Source organism: Homo sapiens, chromosome 6 (assembly GCF_000001405.40).
Source record: "Homo sapiens chromosome 6, GRCh38.p14 Primary Assembly".
Taxonomy (NCBI): domain Eukaryota; kingdom Metazoa; phylum Chordata; class Mammalia; order Primates; family Hominidae; genus Homo; species Homo sapiens.
In genome coordinates, this window is record NC_000006.12 from 36,336,889 (window position 1) to 36,356,788 (window position 19,900).

General features: G+C 45.5%; 1 protein-coding gene across 2 annotated transcripts in view; it reads right to left on the reverse strand.

Moving 5' to 3' along the window:
- Positions 17,200 to 19,900, reverse strand: part of ETV7 (ETS variant transcription factor 7) — a 33,582-nt gene continuing 30,881 nt past the window's right edge. For both annotated transcript variants that reach the window (NM_001207039.2, NM_001207035.2), the window contains one exon: positions 17,200 to 17,799. In NM_001207039.2, coding sequence (NP_001193968.1) covers positions 17,754 to 17,799 — 46 coding nt within the window. In that variant the 3' untranslated portion in view covers positions 17,200 to 17,753. The remainder of the gene's footprint in view (positions 17,800 to 19,900) is intronic.

Consider the following 19,900-nt stretch of genomic DNA (forward strand, 5'->3'; position numbering starts at 1 on the left):
TCAGAAGATGCTTTGGCCGTCCATATATACAGTATCTCCCAGGAACTGAGCTCATGGCAGCCAATCCAGAGAGCCATGGGCTGGCTCACCTTCCTCCACCTGTTACCACCCATCCCAGGACTGCTCCCCGCTCCTCCAATGATAAGAGGCTTAGCTCAGCTACCCTGGAAAAAACAGTTTCACTTGTCAACTTCCTTATTGCACCCAAACCCCAGTAAGAAACCAAAGCTCAGAAAATAACCTAAGGTCTGGCTGGGGAAAACCCCACCTGTAGAGTTGAAAACAAGACTTAATGGGAAATGCAGGTTAGGGGGAGAAAGTCGAGGTGGCTTTATTGCCTTTACAACATCCCTCAGTTATCTTTGAAGATTAGTGGGGAGGGAGGTACCTAGAAAGAAAGGTCAGCGATGGGATACATACATCCCTTGACCTGGAGACAACCCAGAAGGAAGAGCCCACAAGAGCCACGTGTTCCAGATCTGCTATGCCCGGGAAGGGTTGCCATGGATCTTGAGAGAACATTCTAAGAAGTCTTAAAAAGTCAGATTTCCACTTTCTGTAATGCCTTATTTTAAAAAATAGAGTGTAAATACATGTTTATAATCAGAAAAGAAAAACATGTTTTATTAAAATGAAAGCAAAGGCCGGGCACGGTGGCTCACACCTGTAATCCCAGCAATTTGGGAGGCTGAGGCAGGCGGATCACCTGAGGTCAGGAGTTCGAGACCAGCCTGGCCAACATGGCGAAACTCCATCTCTACTAAAAATACAAAAATTAGCCAGGTATGGTGGCAGACACTTGTAATCCCAGCTACTTGGAAGGCTGAGGCAGGAAAATCACTTGAACCCAGGAGGCAGAAGTTGTAGTGAGCTGAGATCGTGCCACTGCACTCCAGCCTGGGTGACAGAGTGAGACTCTGTCTCAAAAAAAAAAAAAAAAAAAAAAAGAAAAAAAAAGAAAAAAATATTAAGAAATTCTGTTTTGGTTCATTAACACAGGGAGGCATCACAAAATATATATGGAAGCACCAAACTTTGGAGTCAGCCCCATCTGGAGACACCTGCCAGCTGTGTAACCACAGCAGGGGACATGATGTCACTGAGCTTGTGCTCACTTATAAAACAAGTAGTCATCTCAGAGGGTAGTTGGGCCAAATGCGATAATGCTTACAAAGAAAAGAAGAAGGCCAGGCATGGTGGCTCACATCTGTAATCCCAGCACTGTGGGAGACCAAGGTAGGAGGATTGCTTGAGCCCAGAAGTTCAAGACCAGCCTGGACAACATAGTGAGATCTTATCTCTACTAAAAATTTTAAAAATTAGCCAGGCATGGTGGCACATGCCTGTAGTCTCAGCTACTCAGGAGGCTGAGGCAGGAGGATTGCTTGAGCCCAGGAGGTCAAGGCTGCAGTGAGCCATGATCGTGCTACTGCACTCCAGCCTAGGCAACAGAGTGAGATCCTGTCTCAAAGGAAAAAAGAAGAAAGGAAGGAAAGGAAGGAAAAAAAGAAGGAAAGAAAGGAAGAAAGGGAGGGAGGGAGGGAGGAAGGAAGGAAGGAAGGAAGGAAGGAAGGAAGGAAAAAGAAAGAAAGAAAGAAACAAAGAAAGAGAAGGAAAGGAAGGAAGAAAGAGAAGGAAAGGAAGGAAGGAAATGTATGGAGTGCCAGACATCTTTCTTTCTGTGTATTAACAGTGCCTGGTACTTGTAAGGGCTCAATAAAGGGCCAATGTTTTATTACGGGCAACAGAGTTATTAATGCTTCATTCATTCTGTCAACAGGTTTTGGATCCAGCTATGTGACAGACACTGTCTCAGCACTAAATTTAGAATTTATTAGTCCAAGAAGTCACTCAGCCTTCAAACAAATGTTAAATAATATTACATATTTTTCATTTATTTAATGAAACTATTGTGTCAACCACTTCTTCCAGGCCCTGTGTGTATTGTATGTGTTCTTTCTTATTCCAAGGTGAATATGCCCAGCCTGGCCCAGCCCTCATGGAGTCCATAAAGTAGTTGGGAAGAGAGAAACACACAGAGAAAAATCATACAAGCAAGCAGAAGGGAATAGGAAGTTGTTTAATGCGTACAGAGTTTCAGTTTGAGAGGAATGTGGTACCACTACCTCCACCATTCAACCATCTCCACAACTTTTGAGATGTGGAGGATTTTCACAAGGCACACTCAAACTCAACTTTTGAGTTTGGAGATGGTTCAATGGTGGAGAGTGGTACAACAATCAAAATGTGCTTAATGCCACTGCACCGTACACTTTAAAAAGGTTACAACAGTCAACTTTATGTCATGCATATTTTACCACAATAAAAAGAAGGGGAGGGGCAGACAGCCACGTGGCACACCGTGCAGACATCTCCCATGTACCCAGCAATCCCATCTGCAGGTACATACGCTCCTAGGTTCTCACGGGAGGGAGAACCATCATGGGCAGCTCTGGGCATCCCACGCCTTCTCCATCAGGGGTCCGGGGGGCAACCTAGCCCTGTGCTCAGTGCCTGCCAAAGACCATATCCTGGAGACGATCTCCACGATCTGGAGACAGACTCTGGCAGCTGCCTGTCCCAGGGCCAAGGTCGGCTACACTACGAGTGAGCCCCCATGCAAAATGAAAACAAAGCACCCTTGTTCAAAACGTATTAATAGTTTCAAGACAGACAGCAGAACATTAAACCAAGCCCCCTGCCCTTCTGAGTGCACACCCTGTGCAACAGTCCAGGTCACACAGCCTTGAAGGGGGCTCTGAAGGTGACAGTTCCCAACCATGTGCTGGGAGGGAAGATGGCAGAGGGAGAGAGAGGGAGATTGAGAGAGAATATCTTTAAAATTTTTATTTAAGTATAACGTATAAAAAGGTGCACAGATCACAGGCAGACAGCTCAATGAATTTTCACGAAGGGAATAAACCTGTGTAACCACCACCCAGATGAAGAAAGAGAACATTCCTGGCACCCCAGAACCCACCTTGTTGCCCTCACGACTCCCAGATTAGATTAGTTTTGCCTATTTTTGAGCATCATCGGTCTGCATGTTTTCTTTTATGCCTGGCTTTTCTCACCGCATGTCTGCGGGACTCAGCCATACTGCTGTGCTGTCATTCTCAGACGGACAATCCCAAGTGTCAGAGCCCATGTGGGGCAAACAGAATTCTCATACGCTGCTGGTGGGAGTGGAAAATGGTGCAACTACTTGGAAAAATCGGCTGGCAATATCTATCAAAGCTGAACAAACACCTGCCCTGTGACCCAGCAATTCCACCCCCAGATAGATACACAACAGAAATGCATCCCCATGGCCCCCCGAAACAACTTTGATATGAATGTGTATATCAGTGCTGTTTGTGAGAGCCAAACTCTCAAAAACTTGAAACTACTTAAATGCCCATTAACAGGAAAATGTACAAACAGTGGCATATTCACACAATTGAGATTTTGTTGTTGTTTTTTCCAGAGAGTCTGTACATTTGTTTATAAAGATTTTTCACCCGCTTGTGTGGGCTGCGTGTGCAGCACGGGGCACGGAAGATAAACGTGGTCTTGGATAAAAATGATGGTAGCCAACGGAGAGGAGTGGGTGGAACACAGGGCCCCAGTCTCAGGAGCGCGGGATTTGGCGGTTCTGAGTAACAAACCTAAGAAGGATTTTCACAAGGCACACTCTAACCTCTCTGAGTGTGAACGCTGCTTCCCAGAAATCCGTCCCCATCCCGGCAGAATTATCTACATATGGAAATGAGCCTGGATCTTCATTTGCTCTGCGGCTCTTGTTCACCGCAGAGCAAAGAGCAAGCTGGTGAACTCTCACTCCTTTCCCGGGCCACACCCTCTGCCTGGAGCCTGCTAATTCGAGGTCCAGCCTCCAACCCACCGGCCTTCCCTAAGTCTCCTTCAGTGTCCTCAGTGAGAGGTGCCGGAAAGGCTATGACCTCACTCCTTCCCAAGCCCCGTCAGAACCCAGAACCAGAGTCTCCAGCCCGAAAATAGCCTCAGAATATCCCCTCGGTTGCTGTGTGCGATGCCTGATTTAGGTCTTGTGCCGGAAATGCTCAGTGAATCTCAGTTCCCCTCCAGATTCCCCTGCCTCGTGGCTCCCAGCGACTCCTAGACTCTCCTCCGCCTCAGCTGTCTGTGGGTCCCTGCTGCAAGCGGGGGCCTCGAGTGCCCGTCCCCACGGAGTGGGAAAGCTGTGGCTTTGACATTAGGCAGAGCTGCGCTGCAGCTCCGGCTGCCTACCCCCAGGGGGCGCGCTGGTGATCGCAATGACAACGGCCATTCGCAAAATGGTTACCAGACCTCAAGCCCGTAGCACGAGCTTCTAAATACATGATTTTTGCCCACAATAATATTCATAAAGAATATATTGTTATTTTACAGATCAGGAAATTAAGGCTCAAAAAGATAAAATAGGCCGGGTGCGGTGGCTCACACTTGTGATCCCAGCACTTTGGGAGGCTGAGGCGGGCGGATCACTTGAGGTCAGGGGTTCAAGACCAGCCTGGCCAACATTTCGTATTTTCGTAAAAATACGAAAATTAGCCGGGCATGGTGGCGTGCGCCTGCAGTCCCAGCTACTCGGTAGGCTGAGGCAGGAGAATTGCTTGAACCTGGGAGGCAGAGGTTGCAGTGAGCCGAGATGGCACCACTGCACTCCAGCCTGGGCGAGAATGAGATTCCATCTCAAAAAAAAATAAAAAGGTAAAATGCTTAAGTGATACTAGTAAATGGCAGATTAAAACCTGCCAGTCAGCCAGGCCTTATGGCATGCAACTGTGTTCCCAGCTCCCCAGGAGGCTAAGGCGGGAGGATCTCTCCAGCTTAGAAATTCTAATCCAGCCTGGACAACATAGCGAGACCTTGTCTCCAAAAAAATAAAAATAAAAATCTGTCAGTCTCCAAAGTGCACTCCACTGTTCTTCTGAACCTCAATTTTCACACCATTACAATGGGAATAAATGATACCAACCTTGCAGGACTGTTAGGAAACTTGAGTGAGGCGATGCAGTGAGCACTTGGCATAGGATGCTGGTGGGCACCTGGGTAGTGGGAACATTTGCTGTAGAAGGGCCCACAGTGAGGTCTCATCATGGGACAGGGGCCCACAGCTGTCTCACAGAACTTGCTCCAAGCCCAACAGTGTCACATGGGTGAACCCAGCCAGGATAATTCCCCAAATTCCTCTTTCCTGGGTCCTAAGGTGGACATTGGTCTCCTCAACCTCTGGTGGCTCTGGCAAGCCCTCTTACACTGTGCCGGTAAAGGAAGCACCTGGTTTAAGCCAGGGTTTCTCAACCTCATCTCTGTTGACATTTTGGACTGGATACCTATTTGCTAGAGGGGAGGGGGGCGGTCCTGTGTGTTGTAGGATGTTTAGCAGCATCCTTGGCCTCTACTCACTAGATGATAGTAGTATCCCACCCAGTAGTGAAAACCAAAAATGCCTCCAAGTCCCCTGGAGAGCAAAATCTCGCCCAGCTGAGAACTATTGGCTTAAGCAATAACGACATGCAATGATCTCACGTTAACTAGGAGTCCCTGATGGCAGGTAGTTCCAGGTGGTTTGGGGCAGCAGCTTGATGATGCCAACAACCACCAATGTTGTCCTAATGCTCATCAATTCATGATCACAAGATGGCTGCCACAGATCCCATTGTGCCACCGCCACAGTCCCACTCAAAGGCAGGCAAGAGGGGGAAAGCGATGGTGTCCTGTGGCATCACCTTTAATCTACAGAGTTTTCCTAGACACTTCTCAGCAGATCTCCCCTGTGTCTCATTGGCTAAAACTGGGGTACCTATCCAGTCCTAGCAGCAAGGGAGCTGGGAAAATGACTAAGTGGCAAGGGGGAGGAGGGATGGAAATGGTGGGCCCTCCCTGACCTGGCAGAATAGACACTCCTCATACTTGCAGAAATTATTTTTAAATCTATCTGCTTTTCCTCACTAAGACTTCAGGACAGGGATCCACATGTTTTCCTCTGTATCCTCAGAACTTAGCCTCGTGCTTAGCACTTAGAAGGTGTTTACTTCATGCTCGTTGAATGAATGAATGAATGAATCGATCAGTTGACCAATGATTTGACCTTCCCCCTTCCTTGCTTATATCACTAAGAGCCCTAAGTAGATGATTATTTATCTATATGCAAATTAACTTGTCTAATTACAAATAAGCCTATGATACAAATAATAATGCAAACATCTCCCAGTTTCTCTAACAAGTCCCGATCCCTCTGGCCATTGAATATGCTGTTCCACTTGTCCAGAACATTCTTCCTGCTACCTCTAACCTCACCCCTCTTCAGCTGGCCAGCTCCTTCTCACTCATAGGTCTCAGCTTAGATGTCACTGCCTCTGGGAAGCCCTCACTGATCTCCTCAGTGTGGCTCGAGGCCTTGGTCCCCTGTGCTGCGCCATCCTAGCACTTATCACCCTGTGTTGTGACTGTTTCCCTAGCAGGACAGGAAATGTCCATGGAGACCAGAACAGCTTGTCCTTCACCAAAGTTAAGTTCTCCATAAACTTTTTTGATTGAATCATTTATGCCAAGGGTTGGCAAAGCTGTTCTGCAAAGTGCCAGATAGTATTTTCAGCTTTGTGGGCTGTATGATCTCTGTTGCAACCATTCGACTCTGCGGTTGGAGGGAGAAAGCAGCCATAGCTGATACTTAAACAAATGAGCATGGCTGTGTTCCAATAAAACTCTATTTGTGGGCACTGAAATTTGAATTTCATATGAATTTCACATGTCATAAAATATTATTCCTTAAAAACATTTTTTCAACCATACAAAAATGTAAAAACCATTTTTAAAGGTTCACCGGCTGTACAAAAACAGGTGATGGACCTTAGTTTGCTAACCCTGATTAATACTGAGAGTCACATGTTCTGGATTTTCCAGGTCATTCTCAAAGATACAACAGGATCACATAAAGCAGTAATGCACAGTAGTTCTTAAGATCAAGCAGTTAAGTTAAACTTGAAAGTGCATTAAATGACTTAGCCATCACAACCCAGAAGACTGTGTCTTAGGAAATCAAAGATTAAGATTAATTTAAGACTGGAGCTGGGCACAGTGTCTCATGCCTGTAATCCCAGCACTTTGGGAAGCCGAGATGGGCAGATCACTTGAGGTCAGGAGTTTGAGACCAGCCTGGTCAACATGGTGAAATCTCATCTCTATTAAAAACACAAAAAATTAGCCAGGCCTGATGGCAGGCACCTGTAGTCCCAGCTACTCAGGAGGCTGAGGCAGGAGAATCGCTTGAGCCCAGGAGGTGGAGGCTGCAGTGAGCTGAGATCGCACCACTGCACTCCAGACTGGGAGGCAGAGTGAAACTCCATCTCAATTAAAAAAAAAAAAAGATTAACTTAAGGCTGGGAAACTGTTACTATCAGGGAACTATATCAATAGGTTCAAACAAAAATGTTTGATAATTTCTATATGCAATTCTGTTGGAAATTTTTAAAACTAGGCAGAAGAATATTTCTTTTCCATAAGAATGATTTCTCTGAAATGATATTCAAAACATTATCTAGATTAATGAAAGCAGCTGTGATGTCCCAGCCTACATCTTTCTCCTGTGCTGGATGTTTCCTGCCCTCAAACATCAGACTCCAAGTTCTTCAGTTTTGGAACTCGGACTAGCTCTCCTTGCTCCTCAGCCTGCAGACAGCCTATTGTGGGACCTTGTAATCGTGTGAGTTAATACTTAATAAACTCCTATACATATATATATATATTAATTCTGTCCCTCTAGAGAACTCTGACTAATACAGTAGCCATTGGAAAAATTGAAAACAAATTAACTGAGACTCGTTGTCCTTAGGGTATAGGAGTGAGAGTGGGTTTCCCATAATGCTAGTTTGTTGTTGTTGTTGTTGTTGTTTTGTTTTTGTTTTGTTTTTTTTTTGAGACGGAATCTCTGTCTGGCTGGAGTGCAGTGGTGTGATCTTGGCTCAATGCAACCTCCGCCTCCTGGGATTTTAAGCGATTCTGCTGCCTCAGCCTCCTGAGTAGCTGAGACTACAGGCGCCCGCCACCACACCCAGCTAACTTTTTGTATTTTTAGAAGAGACAAGGTTTCACTATGTTGGTCAGGCTGGTCTCAAACTCTGGACCTTGTGATCCGCTCACCTTGGCCTCACAAAGTGCTGGGATTACAGGTGTGAGCCACTGTGCTCACCCTGTTGTTGTTTTTAAACCAGACTTCCTGTGTTGGCCAGAACATTCACAGGGGCATAGGAACTTCCATGCACTGCTACAGCGGGACAGTATATGGACTGGTGCAGCCATTCTGGAAAGCAATCAGGCACTGTTAGTTAAAACTGGTGTATGTATTCCCAGGACCCAGCAATTCCACTCCTACACGTATATTCCAAAAAAATTCTTACACAGGCCAGGTGTGGTGGCTCACGCCTGTAATCCCAGAACTTTGGGAGGTCGAGGTGGGCAGATCACCTGAGGTCAGGAGTTCGAGACCAACCTGGCCAACATGGTGAAACCCTGTCTCTACTAAAAATACCAAAAAAAAAAAAAAAAAAAAAAATTAGCTGGGCATGGTGGCAGGTGCCTGTAATCCCAGCTACCTGGGAGGCTGAAACAGGAGAATCACTGGAAGTGGAGGTTGCAGTGAGCTGAGATGGTGCCACTGCACTCCAGCCTGGGTGACAGAACGAGATTCGGTCTGAAAAAAAAAAAAAAGAAAATTAGTTACCAGTGTTTCTCTGGCTTGGTTCCCCACCAGGTAAATTATAGAAACAGGCCCTTTTTGTCAAAGGGCGTTTGATTCCAGGAGTACCTGCCACAGTGACAGTTTCCAGGTCACTCTTCCCCATGGAAAGATTCCTTCCCATCCACGCTGGGTTTCACACATTGGGCCCTCTCAGTATCACAGAGAAACTCCAGCTGCACGGCCAGGCCTCCTCTGTCACAGTGAAGCTGTGGCTCCAGCTCTCTGGACACTGAGCAAATCCAGTTCAAGCCCTGACGTTTGGGGAATGTGGAGGGATTTCCCCACCAGCACAGGCCTGGGAATGACTATGAGCAGAGAGGAGGAGAGAGGATTCCAGAAGGAGCTAACTATCTGCCCCAAATGCCCATCTACTTCTCTTTCCATTGAGCACTGCAGTTTCTTCTGCAAATGGGCCCCATTATATCCACCCTCCAGCCAGGCGTGAACTGGCTGAGAGTAAGTTGAGTCCTAGGAGTCAGGATTCAACTGCCGAGGCGGGGCTTGGACACCAGGCCAAATTGAGGACTAGGTAAAACCAGGACAGGGCGAACAAGCTTTCCATAAGACACGCTAAGACACGCCCATCAGTGCGCCATGTCAATTTACCATTGCCATGGCAACACCCAGAAGTTACCGCCCCTTTCCATGACAACTACCTCCTGAGCTGGAAGTTACCACTCTTTTTCTAGAAATTTCTACATAATCTGCCCCTTAATTTGCATATAATGCAAGCGGGTATAAATATGAGTGCAGCCCTGCCTCTGATCTGCTGCTCTGGGCACACTGCCTGTGGGGTAGCCCTGCTCTGCAGGGAGCAGGACCTCTGCTGCTGCCGTACACTGTCGCTTCAATAAAATTTGCTGGTTTAACATCACCAGCTTGACCTTGGATTATTTTTGGGGCAGAGCCAAGAAACTTCCTGGGCTAAGCCCCAATATTAGGCTCGCCTGCCCTGCATCAAAAGGATGTAATTGAGGCCGCAGGAGCTGGGACTTCTTTTACAGATACGAGGTTATGTGAATGGTTAGGCAAGGAGAGGTTTGCCGCCATCACGCCACAGCCATGACTAATTAATCGCCGTAGATCGAGGGAAGGAGAGCAGCAAATGGCCTCAGCTGTGTGGGTCCCGCTCGGTCATGGCCGGAAGAACGGCCCCCAATAGGATACGTCCAAGTCCTAACGCTCAGAACCTGTGAATGTGACCCGATTGGAAAAAAAGGGTCTTCACAGACATAATTAAGGATTTCAAGATGAGATCATCCGGGATTTGGAGGGGGCGTAAATCCAGTGAGAGTGGTCCTGAAGGAGCAGGAGGAGACCTGAGATTCACAGAGACACACAGGGGGAAGATGGCCACATGAAGATGGGGGCAGAGATGGGAGTGATGCAGCCACAAACCAAGGCATGCCAAGGTCTGCCCACCACCCCCAGAGGCTAGGAGCTGGGAGAGACACAGCGAAGGGACTCCCCCTCAGAGTGCCCAGAGGGAATCGATCTCTGCCTGAATGTGGACCTCCTGTGAGACGATTAATGTCCACTGTTTTAAGTCCCCAAGTTTGTGGTAATTTGTTACAGCACCCTAGGAAAATAACACATTCTCTCTCACACCCAGCCACTCAGCTGACTGGGTCTCCAGGTCCTGAAGCCCCCACCTGGCTCACTCAGGCTCGCGGTTGAGCTGCCTGTCAACCGGGAGTGTCCCTCTTCCTGCTGGAGGGCAGGGGCCCTCAGGAGCACTGGCTTTGATCATCCTGACTGACCCACAGAAGGGGTGGGTGCCAGGTAGGTGGCAGCGCCTGAAGATCTTCCATCTTGTTACTCTCAAAATGTTCCTTTTGTGGCCCTAAAAAATAAGCAAATAAAATGATGTAAAATAATTAATCTTGAAGTAAAAAATGTAAAACCAGTGCCGAGGCTGATGCCTAAAGCATCTCCTCGCCCTTTTTCCTGCCCTTGGTGACTTTTGTTCTTAGTTAGCTCTGACTTTCAAGTCCAGGGTGAGACCAGGTTTCCACTCACAGAGGTCGCCCACAAGGTGAAACTTGAGGGCCAGGCCCTCTGAGCCCAACAAACTGCAATTCCCAGGAAATATGATCAGATGGCAGGATCTCAGGCACTAGGCCCAACCTGGAAGGGGCTGTATTTCAGGGAAGGAGCCGTATTTCAGGGAAGGGGCGGGCCCTTGCATTAGCAGGTGACTGTCTTCTCAGTTGATAAGAACACCCCATTAACCAGAAAATGGGCTGTCCAAGACAGACTTTGGTCTTATCAAAACAAGAGCAGAGAGTCTGTTGAAACAGCTTGCTGGGAGCCAGACTGTTGTAATGCAACAATTAGTACATGCCTGTGTCTCATTTACAACACCAGAGACTCCACACTTTAGCGATGGCCACTGAGGGTTTTGTTACTGTTGTTGTTGTTTGCCACTTTCCTGCCTAGGAATAGCCACTGTTTAGAAAAAGCTCTTCCAAGGTATTTTTTCTACTCGCATAGAATCATATTATTACTATTCCTCTTTTTTTTTTGATACAGGGTCTCACTCTGTTGCCCAGGCTGGAGTGCAGTGGCATGATCACACCTCATGCAGCCTCAACCTCCCCTCACCTCAGCCTCTCAAGTAGCTGGGACTACAGGCATACGACCACACCAAGACAATTATTTTTTTTTTTTGAGATGGAGCCTTGCTCTGTCGCCCAGGCTGGAGTGCAGTGGTGCGATCTTGGCTCACTGCAACCTCCACCTCCCAGGTTCAAGCGATTCTCCTGCCTTAGCCTCCCGAGTAGCTGGGACTACAGGCGCGCACCACCATGCCCAGCTAATTTTTTGTATTTTAGTAGAGACAGGGTTTCACCCTGTTGGCCATGATGGTATCAGTCTCCTGACCTTCTGATCCACCTGCCTCAGCCTCCCAAAGTGCTGGGATTACAGGTGTGAGCCACTGTGCCCGGCCACTGATTTTTTAAAATTTTTGGTAGAGATAGGTTTTGCCATGTTGCCCAGGCTGGTTTTGAACTCCTGAGCTCAAGTGATCCACTCGCCTCACCTCAGCTTCCCAAAGTGCTGGGATTACAGGTGCAAGCTACTGGCCTGGCCTCTTTGTTGTTAGTGGTGTTGTATTTTGTTCCAGTGGTGGCAGTTCCCAAAAACATTATCCTAAGGGAGCTTTTGGCCACAGAGCAGGGAAGACTCCCTTGTCTCTTCCAAGCCCCAAATAATTTCTTTTTTAAAACTTAGTGAAGGAAAGCGTTCAGAACTCCAAGAGACCATCACTTCTCAGGAAGGGGGGTTTCCACACAAGGGGACATTAGGAATAATTGCATTTCACCCACATGAACTTCTCAGCCTTCTGCTGATGACTTTTCTCTTTGAAACCTTGCAAAGTTGGAGTGGAACTTGCAGCCCCTACTCCCACTCCAAGTTAGGCAGACAGGGATAGGGTAAGGGGACAAGGAGGTGAACCCAAGTCAGCTTGTCCCCAGCAAAGTCACTCATGGCCTCTCTCCCCAAGGCAATGCTCCTCTCTTTTGTAATCCCAAGACAGTTGACAACACATCCAAGTCCATTTTTTTTTTTCTCACTCGGGGCACTTGAGAGGTAAGTAAAATTCTCATGACATATGGACGATATACAGACTAGAGAATATCCCATACTTTTAGTCTAATTCCTCGAAATAGTTTATAGAAATTATCTTATATAACAAAAGCAACTACGCCTTTCTGTGCCATGTTCCCTGAATCATCATTCATTTTACCAGCTCCACATGTTCACAGACAGGTTAGCATCACCACTTGGCAGATGGCCCAGGAGCCCCAGCCTTGCACCTGCAGGGGCGTCACGTGTTCTTCCTCATCAGTTCTTGCAGATCTTCTCTTTATGTGAGCTACAGGGTGTTCCACTGTATTTACTTACCCAAACCCCATTGCTAGACCTTTGGATTTTCCCCATGTTTTGTAAGAATAACCAGTGCTCCAGAGAACATCTCTAAAAATATATGTCTGCACGTATGTGAGAAGTTTTGTGAAAGGTGTATTCTCAGAAACAGAATGTCTGGGTCACAAGGGAGACATACTTACAACCTGGGTAGGCCCTGCCGAATTCCCTTCCAAAAGTGTGTGCCTCTTTCCACCACCAGCTGTGTCAATGAGTGTGGCTGCTTCTTCACCCTCACGCTCACTGTGGACACTGTGGAGCCTGTTCATTGCTGTCCATCAGATGAGCCACTCTTGTCTTAATTTGCCTCCCTCCCTCCCTCTCTCTCTCTCCCTCTCTCTCTTTCTTTCTTTCTTTATTCTTATTATTATTATTTTGGTAGAGGCAGGGTCTTGCTATGTTACCCAGGCTGGTCTCCAACCCCTGGGCTCAAGCAATCCTCCTGCCTCAGCCTCCCAAAGTGCTGGGATTACAGGCGTGAGCCACCGTGCTGGACCTAATTTGCCTTTCTTTCACAGTGAAGTTAAACATCTTCTTAAATGCTTCTTGGCCTCTGAGTTTGTTCCTAAGCAGCAGATTCTTTATTAGGAAAAAAAAAATCCACTTACAAGTTCTATTGTTTCCTCCTGGAAGTGCTCATTATAACCAAGAGAATACATGGAAGCTCTGTCTTCCTATGACACATAGACCCTTCTCACCTCACAGGGAAAAGGAGACTGTTGATGTCAGCACCCACCAAATGCCACACACCAGGAGCCGATTCCAGGACTGATCCACAGGAAGCCACTTCTCCATCTTTCGAGGGCACCCGTGTTCACAGACAGGACTTCAGAGGTCAACTTATAGACGCCACAGACAGGAGGAAGCCACTTCACACCACAAATACAGTTTTTATACAGACAAAAATGAAAGGATTGTCAGTTATCTCAAGTAAGTACTGAACCAAAATACATGTTAAAATCTTGATGTAAGGTCCTGGTGGGTTGGCCTGGACCACACCATCAAAGGCCCTTTTTCTCCCTCAGAGGTGGGAAAGCTGAAAAGTAAACTCCCCTGGCCCCTTAGCAGCTGGAGTTTCTGATGTGAATTAGGATCTGACAATTTAATGCCCTGGCCCAGGTTGGGAGGAGGAAGTGAAGTGAGGGCATTTTCCTGTGGATCCCATGCTGCTGAACAAGCAAGGTCAAGGAGAAGCTGCGCATTCCAGCAAGGCTCGCGTGCTGACACTCCTCCATGTGCAGCGTGGTTCCCGCCTTCTGCATCACTGCTGCAGTGTTGAGATTCCGGCTCATCCCTGGAGCCCTACCAGGAACCCACTCCTCCACCCTTCCAATGACTTTGTAAACCCCTGATGCCTTTCCCGCTAAAATTAGCTGCTGTGGTTTCCTCCAGCTGAACCATGACTGATACAGCTCACAAATATGCTTTATCTTGACCAAGGCAGCCATGCAAGATAAGAGAAAGAAAAGTCTAGACAAAGGGCAACACAGGCATGAATCACGCTTATTACGGTTTTCCTAACAGCACTTTAATTAGATACCTCGTCCCTTTAGACAATGTGAAAACTAAGCAGAGGCACAAAGAATGAAATAAACATCATCTGTTATTCCACAAGAATCAAATATTGATGAGAAGAAAACAGCCAGCCCCACTGAGATGCCGGGCCTAGCAGGCCAGCTGCTGTTGTTCATTTGAACGCAGATTCACCAGCTCAGCCGAGGACAGCCTGGGCTGATCTGGGCTCACACTTACTATCTGATGTGAGACTGCAGAGGAGCTCCCAGCTCCTTTCTGAGAGTGAGGGGAAAAGTTGCGATAACAAAACGTGATGGTAATAACTTATCTCATTTTTCTCCTGGCAGAAAACTTGAATACCAGAGCATCCAGTTCTAACCCACAGACCTGGCAGCCTAGTGGGAGAATGAGTGTCTGTACTTTTTCTGCCTCCAGTCACCCTCCCTGAACTCCTGCTGACCACCCACCATGCCTGGAGAGGGTCTTCCATATCCCTCTAGCCCAAGCTAGAACCTGAAATCTATTTGTATTTATTTAAACTGGGCCTATTCTTTCCACCTTCAGTCCAAGGTCAAAGTTGTCTTCCAGAGACTTCTTTCCTTCTTTTTTCCAGAGAAAAAAATGATAAAACTACCTATAATTTATCAAGACGCTACCGAGAAGTTAACCCTCATAAGAACTTCACAAAGTAGGAGTTATTCTCATTTTACAATTGAGAGGTTCAGAGAGATTGAGTCCATTTTCCAACATTCCACAGCTCATGAGACGTGGAAGCAGGATTCAGACCCACAACCTTCAGGTTCAAAGCCTGGGTTCTTAATCCTCATGCTACATCCCACTTTGCCAGGCCTAGGAAAGTGCCCCTGATTTGCTGCCCTCTTTGGGGAAGCTGCTACTCTATGCAGAGCCTCTGTTTGCTCATAATTTTTTTTTTAATAATAACTACTGGGATCTCATTCACATGCCACAAAGTTCACTCTCTTTTTTTCACTCTGTCACCCAGGCTGAAGTGCAGTGGCACGATCTTGGCTCCCTGAAACCTCCGCCTCCTGTGTTCAAGCAATTCTGTGCCTCAGCCTCCTGATGTAGCTGGCATTACAGGCACGTGCCACCACACCCAGCTAATTTTTGTGATTTTAAGAGAGACGGGGTTTTGCCATGTTGGTCAGGCTGATCTCGAACTCCTGGACTCTAGCAATCCACCTGCCTCGGCCTCCCAAAGTGCTGGGATTACAGGCATGAGCTACCAGGCCTGGCTAAAATTCACTCTTTAAAATGTACAGTTCTGTGGGGTTTAGTATATTCACAGAGATGTGCATTAATCACCATGACTGCCCACTTCCGGAGCATTTTCATACCCCTGGAAAGAAATCCCATACCCATTACCAGTCCCTTCCCAGGCCCTCTCACCCCCAACCCCAGTCAACCATTAATCTCCCACCTGGCTGGGTGGATTTGCCTCTCTGGACATTTCATATAAATGGAATCATACAATCATATGTTATGACTTGCTCCTTACATTCAACACTATTTCTTCAAGGTTCACCCGTGTTACAGCATGTATTAGAACTTTATTCCTTTTTCATGACTGCATAATGTTCCATTGTGTGGATAGATCACATTTTGTTTATCCATTCAGCAGTTAATGGACATTTGGGTTGTTTTTCGTTTTGGCAACTACAAATAATGCTACCGTGAACATTTGTGTACAAGTTTTTGTGTGGACATATGTTTTTAATTCTCTCGGGTATATACTTAGAAGCAGGATTGCTGGGTCATACGGTAACTCTATTTTAGCTTTTTGAGAAATTGTTAAGCTGTTTTCCACAGCAGCTGCATCATTTTATGTTCTCACCAGTAACGTATGAGGGTTCTAACTTCTCCACATCCTCTCCGACACTTGTTAATGTCCATCTTTTTTTTAATTATAGCTCTGCTGTTGCCAGAAAAAGAGTCCCAATCCAGACTCCAAGAGAGGATTGTTGGATCTCGCACAGGAAGGGATTCAAGGTAAGTTACAAAGTGCAGAGAGAGGATAGTTTATTGAAAGCTACTCAGTCACAGAATAGGGCATCCTCAGAAAGCAAGAGGAGGAACACGCCATCTCTGTCTTAAACTTTTCTCATATAGGAGTCTCATCTATGTAAAAGCTAAGATAAATTATGTCTGCGTGGGTGGGCTGACAGCATAAAATTTAGTATTCTGTTGATTTAAAGAAAGTATCTTTGGCATTTTAGTACATAAGTACATCAAAGCATGACTATAGTCATCTTAAAAGCATATCTTGTTAAGGATAGTGGGACATCTGGACTTTTTGTTATTGTAGGAGTGTGTTCTTGCAGGTATTTTTAAGGTGTTTCCTCAACTGTAAACATCTTAGGACCATGAGTCATGACTGGCAAGGAACGTGCCTTGATAGTTTTAAGATGGAGTTGATTTTAAAATGATGTCACCATGGCTCTCCTATGCTTCTGTTTCCCTAACAATCCTAGTGAGCGAGAAGTAGTATCTCATGGTAGTTTGTTCTTCATTTCCCTAATGATTAATGATTGTTGTGGTTTGGCTGTGTCACCCCCAACCCCCACCAATTCTCATCTTGAATTGTAGCTCCCACAATTCCCACATGTTGTGGGAGGGACCCAGTGGGAGGTAATTGAATCATGGTAATTGAATCAGTCTCTCCCGTGCTGTTCTCATGATTGTGAATAAGTCTCATGAGACCCCATAAAATTTTATAAAGAGGAGTTTCCCTGCACAAGCTCTCTCCCCCCTGCCACGATGTAGGATGTGACTTGCTCCTCCTTGTCTTCTGCCATGATTGTGAGGCCTCCCCAGCCATGTGGAACTGTGAGTCAATTAAACCTCTTTTCTTTATAAATTACCAGTCTCGGGTATGTCTTCATCAGCAGTGTGAAAACGGACTAATACAATGATGTTAGCATTTCTTCATGTGCTTATTTGTTATTTGTGTATCTTCTTAGGAAAAATCTCTATTCATGTCCTTTGCCCAATTTGGGGTTTTTTGTCTTTTTATTATTGAGTTGTAGGAATTCTTTATCAATCCTGGATACAATTCTTTTATCAGATATATGATTTGGAGATATTTTCTCCCATCCTATGGGTTTTTTTTTTTTTTTTTACTTTCTTGATGGTGTCCTATGAAGCACAAAGGCTTTTAATTTTGATGGAGTTCAATTTATCTATTTTTTTATTACTTATTCTTTTGGTGTTATATTTAAGACACAATGGCCTAATCCAAGGTCATGAAGATTTACTCCTATGTTTTATTCTAGGAGTTTTACAGTTTTAGCTCTTACGTTTATGTCTTTGACATATTTTGAGTTAATTTTTGGAGATGGTGTAAGGTAAGGGGACAACTTTATTCTTTTGCATGTGGACACCCATTGTCCCAACACTATTTGTTGAAAAAACTGTTCTTAATCTATATCCTTATGCCATTACCAATCTTTGTTGAGTACTATAGCTTTGTAGCAAGTTTCAAAATCAGGAAGTGTGGGTCCTCCAACTTTGTTTTTCTTTCCAAGACTGTTTTGGCTATTTGGGGTCACTGGAAACTCCATATGAATATGAAGATCAGCTGAAGTCCATTTCTGCAATAAAAAAAAAAAGCAGTTGGAATTTTGATAGGGATTGCATTGAATATGTAGACCAATTTAGGGAGTATTGCCATCTTAACAATCCAGGAACATGTTATATCTGTCCATTTATTTAGATTTGCTTTAATTTCTTTCAACAATGCTTTGTAGTTTTCAGAGTATATGTCTTGTGCTTTAAGTTTATTTGTGTTTTATTCTTTTGATGGTATTGGAAATAGAATTATTTTGAATTTCATTTTCAGGTTGTTCATTGTCATAGATAGAAATACAATTGACTTTTGTAGGTTAGTCTTGTATTCTGCAAACTTACTGAACTCATTAATTAGTTCTCATAGTTTTTTTATTCCTTAGGATTTTTATACACAGTATCATGTTATCTATGAACAGAGATAGTTTTACTTCTTCCTTTCCAACCTAGATGCTTTTTATTTCTTTTTCTTGCCTCACTGCTCTGACTAGAACCCTGCAATATTAGGAGAAAAGCATCTAGTCGTTCACCATTAAGTAGGATGGTAGCTGTGGGGTTTTCACAGATGGTCTTGATCAGCTTGAGGAAGTTCTCTTCTAGTCTTGGTTTGTTGAATATTTTTATGATAAGACACTTGGATTTTGTCAAATGCTTTTTCCCTATCTATTGAGATGATTATGTGGGTTTTGTCTTTCATTTTATTAGTGTGGTATATAACACTGATGTTCATAGACTTTTTTTTTTTTTTGAGACAGAGTCTCACTCTGTCATCCAGGCTGGAGTGCAGTGGCATGATCTTACTCCAACCTCCAACTCTCCGCCTCACTCCAACCTCTGCCTCTCGGGTTCAAGTGATTCTCCTGCCTCAGCCTCCCAAGTATCTGGGATTACAGGCATGCGCCATTGCGCCTGGCTAACTTTTGTATTTTTTGGTAGAGACAGGGTTTCACCATGTTGGCCAGGCTGGTCTCGAACTCCTGGCCTCAACTTATCTGCCCACCTTGGCTTCCCAAAGTGCTGGGATTACAGGTGTGAGCCACCGCACCCAGCCCATAAGCTCTTAAAGTATGGATTTGAGAGAAAACTAGAATCATATCTAAATATCAGGCCTTTAATCCCTGTAGGAGGAGATGGTACACATGGCATTGTCGATTGATCCTGGGAATATTTGACACCACTCAGTTTAATATCCTGAGCTCCAAGGCAGTCATTCCCTCTGATTCATCCCAGAACAAAGGACGTCTTAAAAACCTCTCATTACAGGAACTCTCCTCCTACGACAGAGATAAGTGGTAGGCCTGGCAGTGAACTTAAAGAGTATCAAACAATCCCTTGACTAAAAATTGTACCTCCTTAAGAAATAGACCTTTCATAATTGTGCAAGACAGAAACCACAACTCAAACCAACATAAGTGAAAAGGAGATGTATTCGAAAGCTATTGGGATTGTCAAAGAATTGAAGCAATTACAGCTATCAAAATTTCACATGTGGCTGGGCACAGTGGCTCACGCCTGTAATCCCTTCTCTTTGGGAAGCCAAGGCAGGTGGATTGCATTGAGCTCAGGAGTTTTGAGACCAGCCTAGGCAACACAGTGAAACAATGATGAGCAATGATGGCACCATTGCACTCCAGCCTGGGTAAAAGAGTGAGACCCTGTCTCAAAAAAAAAAAAAAAACAAAAAAAAACACAAACAAACACACGTATCCCAAACATATATACAACTATTATATATCAATTTTTTAAAAAGAATTGAAGAAAGATCTGCAGGGATCATGACAGCTCCGAGAGCCCCAAGATTAGAAGTGGAGACCAGACCCTCCAGGGACTTCACCTCACCTTTCTGCCCCTCTGGTGTCCCCTCATGGCAGAAGACACAGCTGCCACTAGCTTGGGGTAACTTCCCAGCCAGACACAGAAAGAGAAATCCCAGGGAAGGACCCTGATTGGCCTATCCTGGATCATGCACCATCTGGACCAGTTGCTGTGGCCACGGAAATGGGCTTCTCTTAATGGCCCAGCCTGGGCTACAGGGCCCTCCCCAACTGCTGGGGGCAGGACACTGTGATGGAGTAGGAAAAGAGTTACTCCCAGAGACAAAGTTATTACCAGGAGGATGGTAGATGG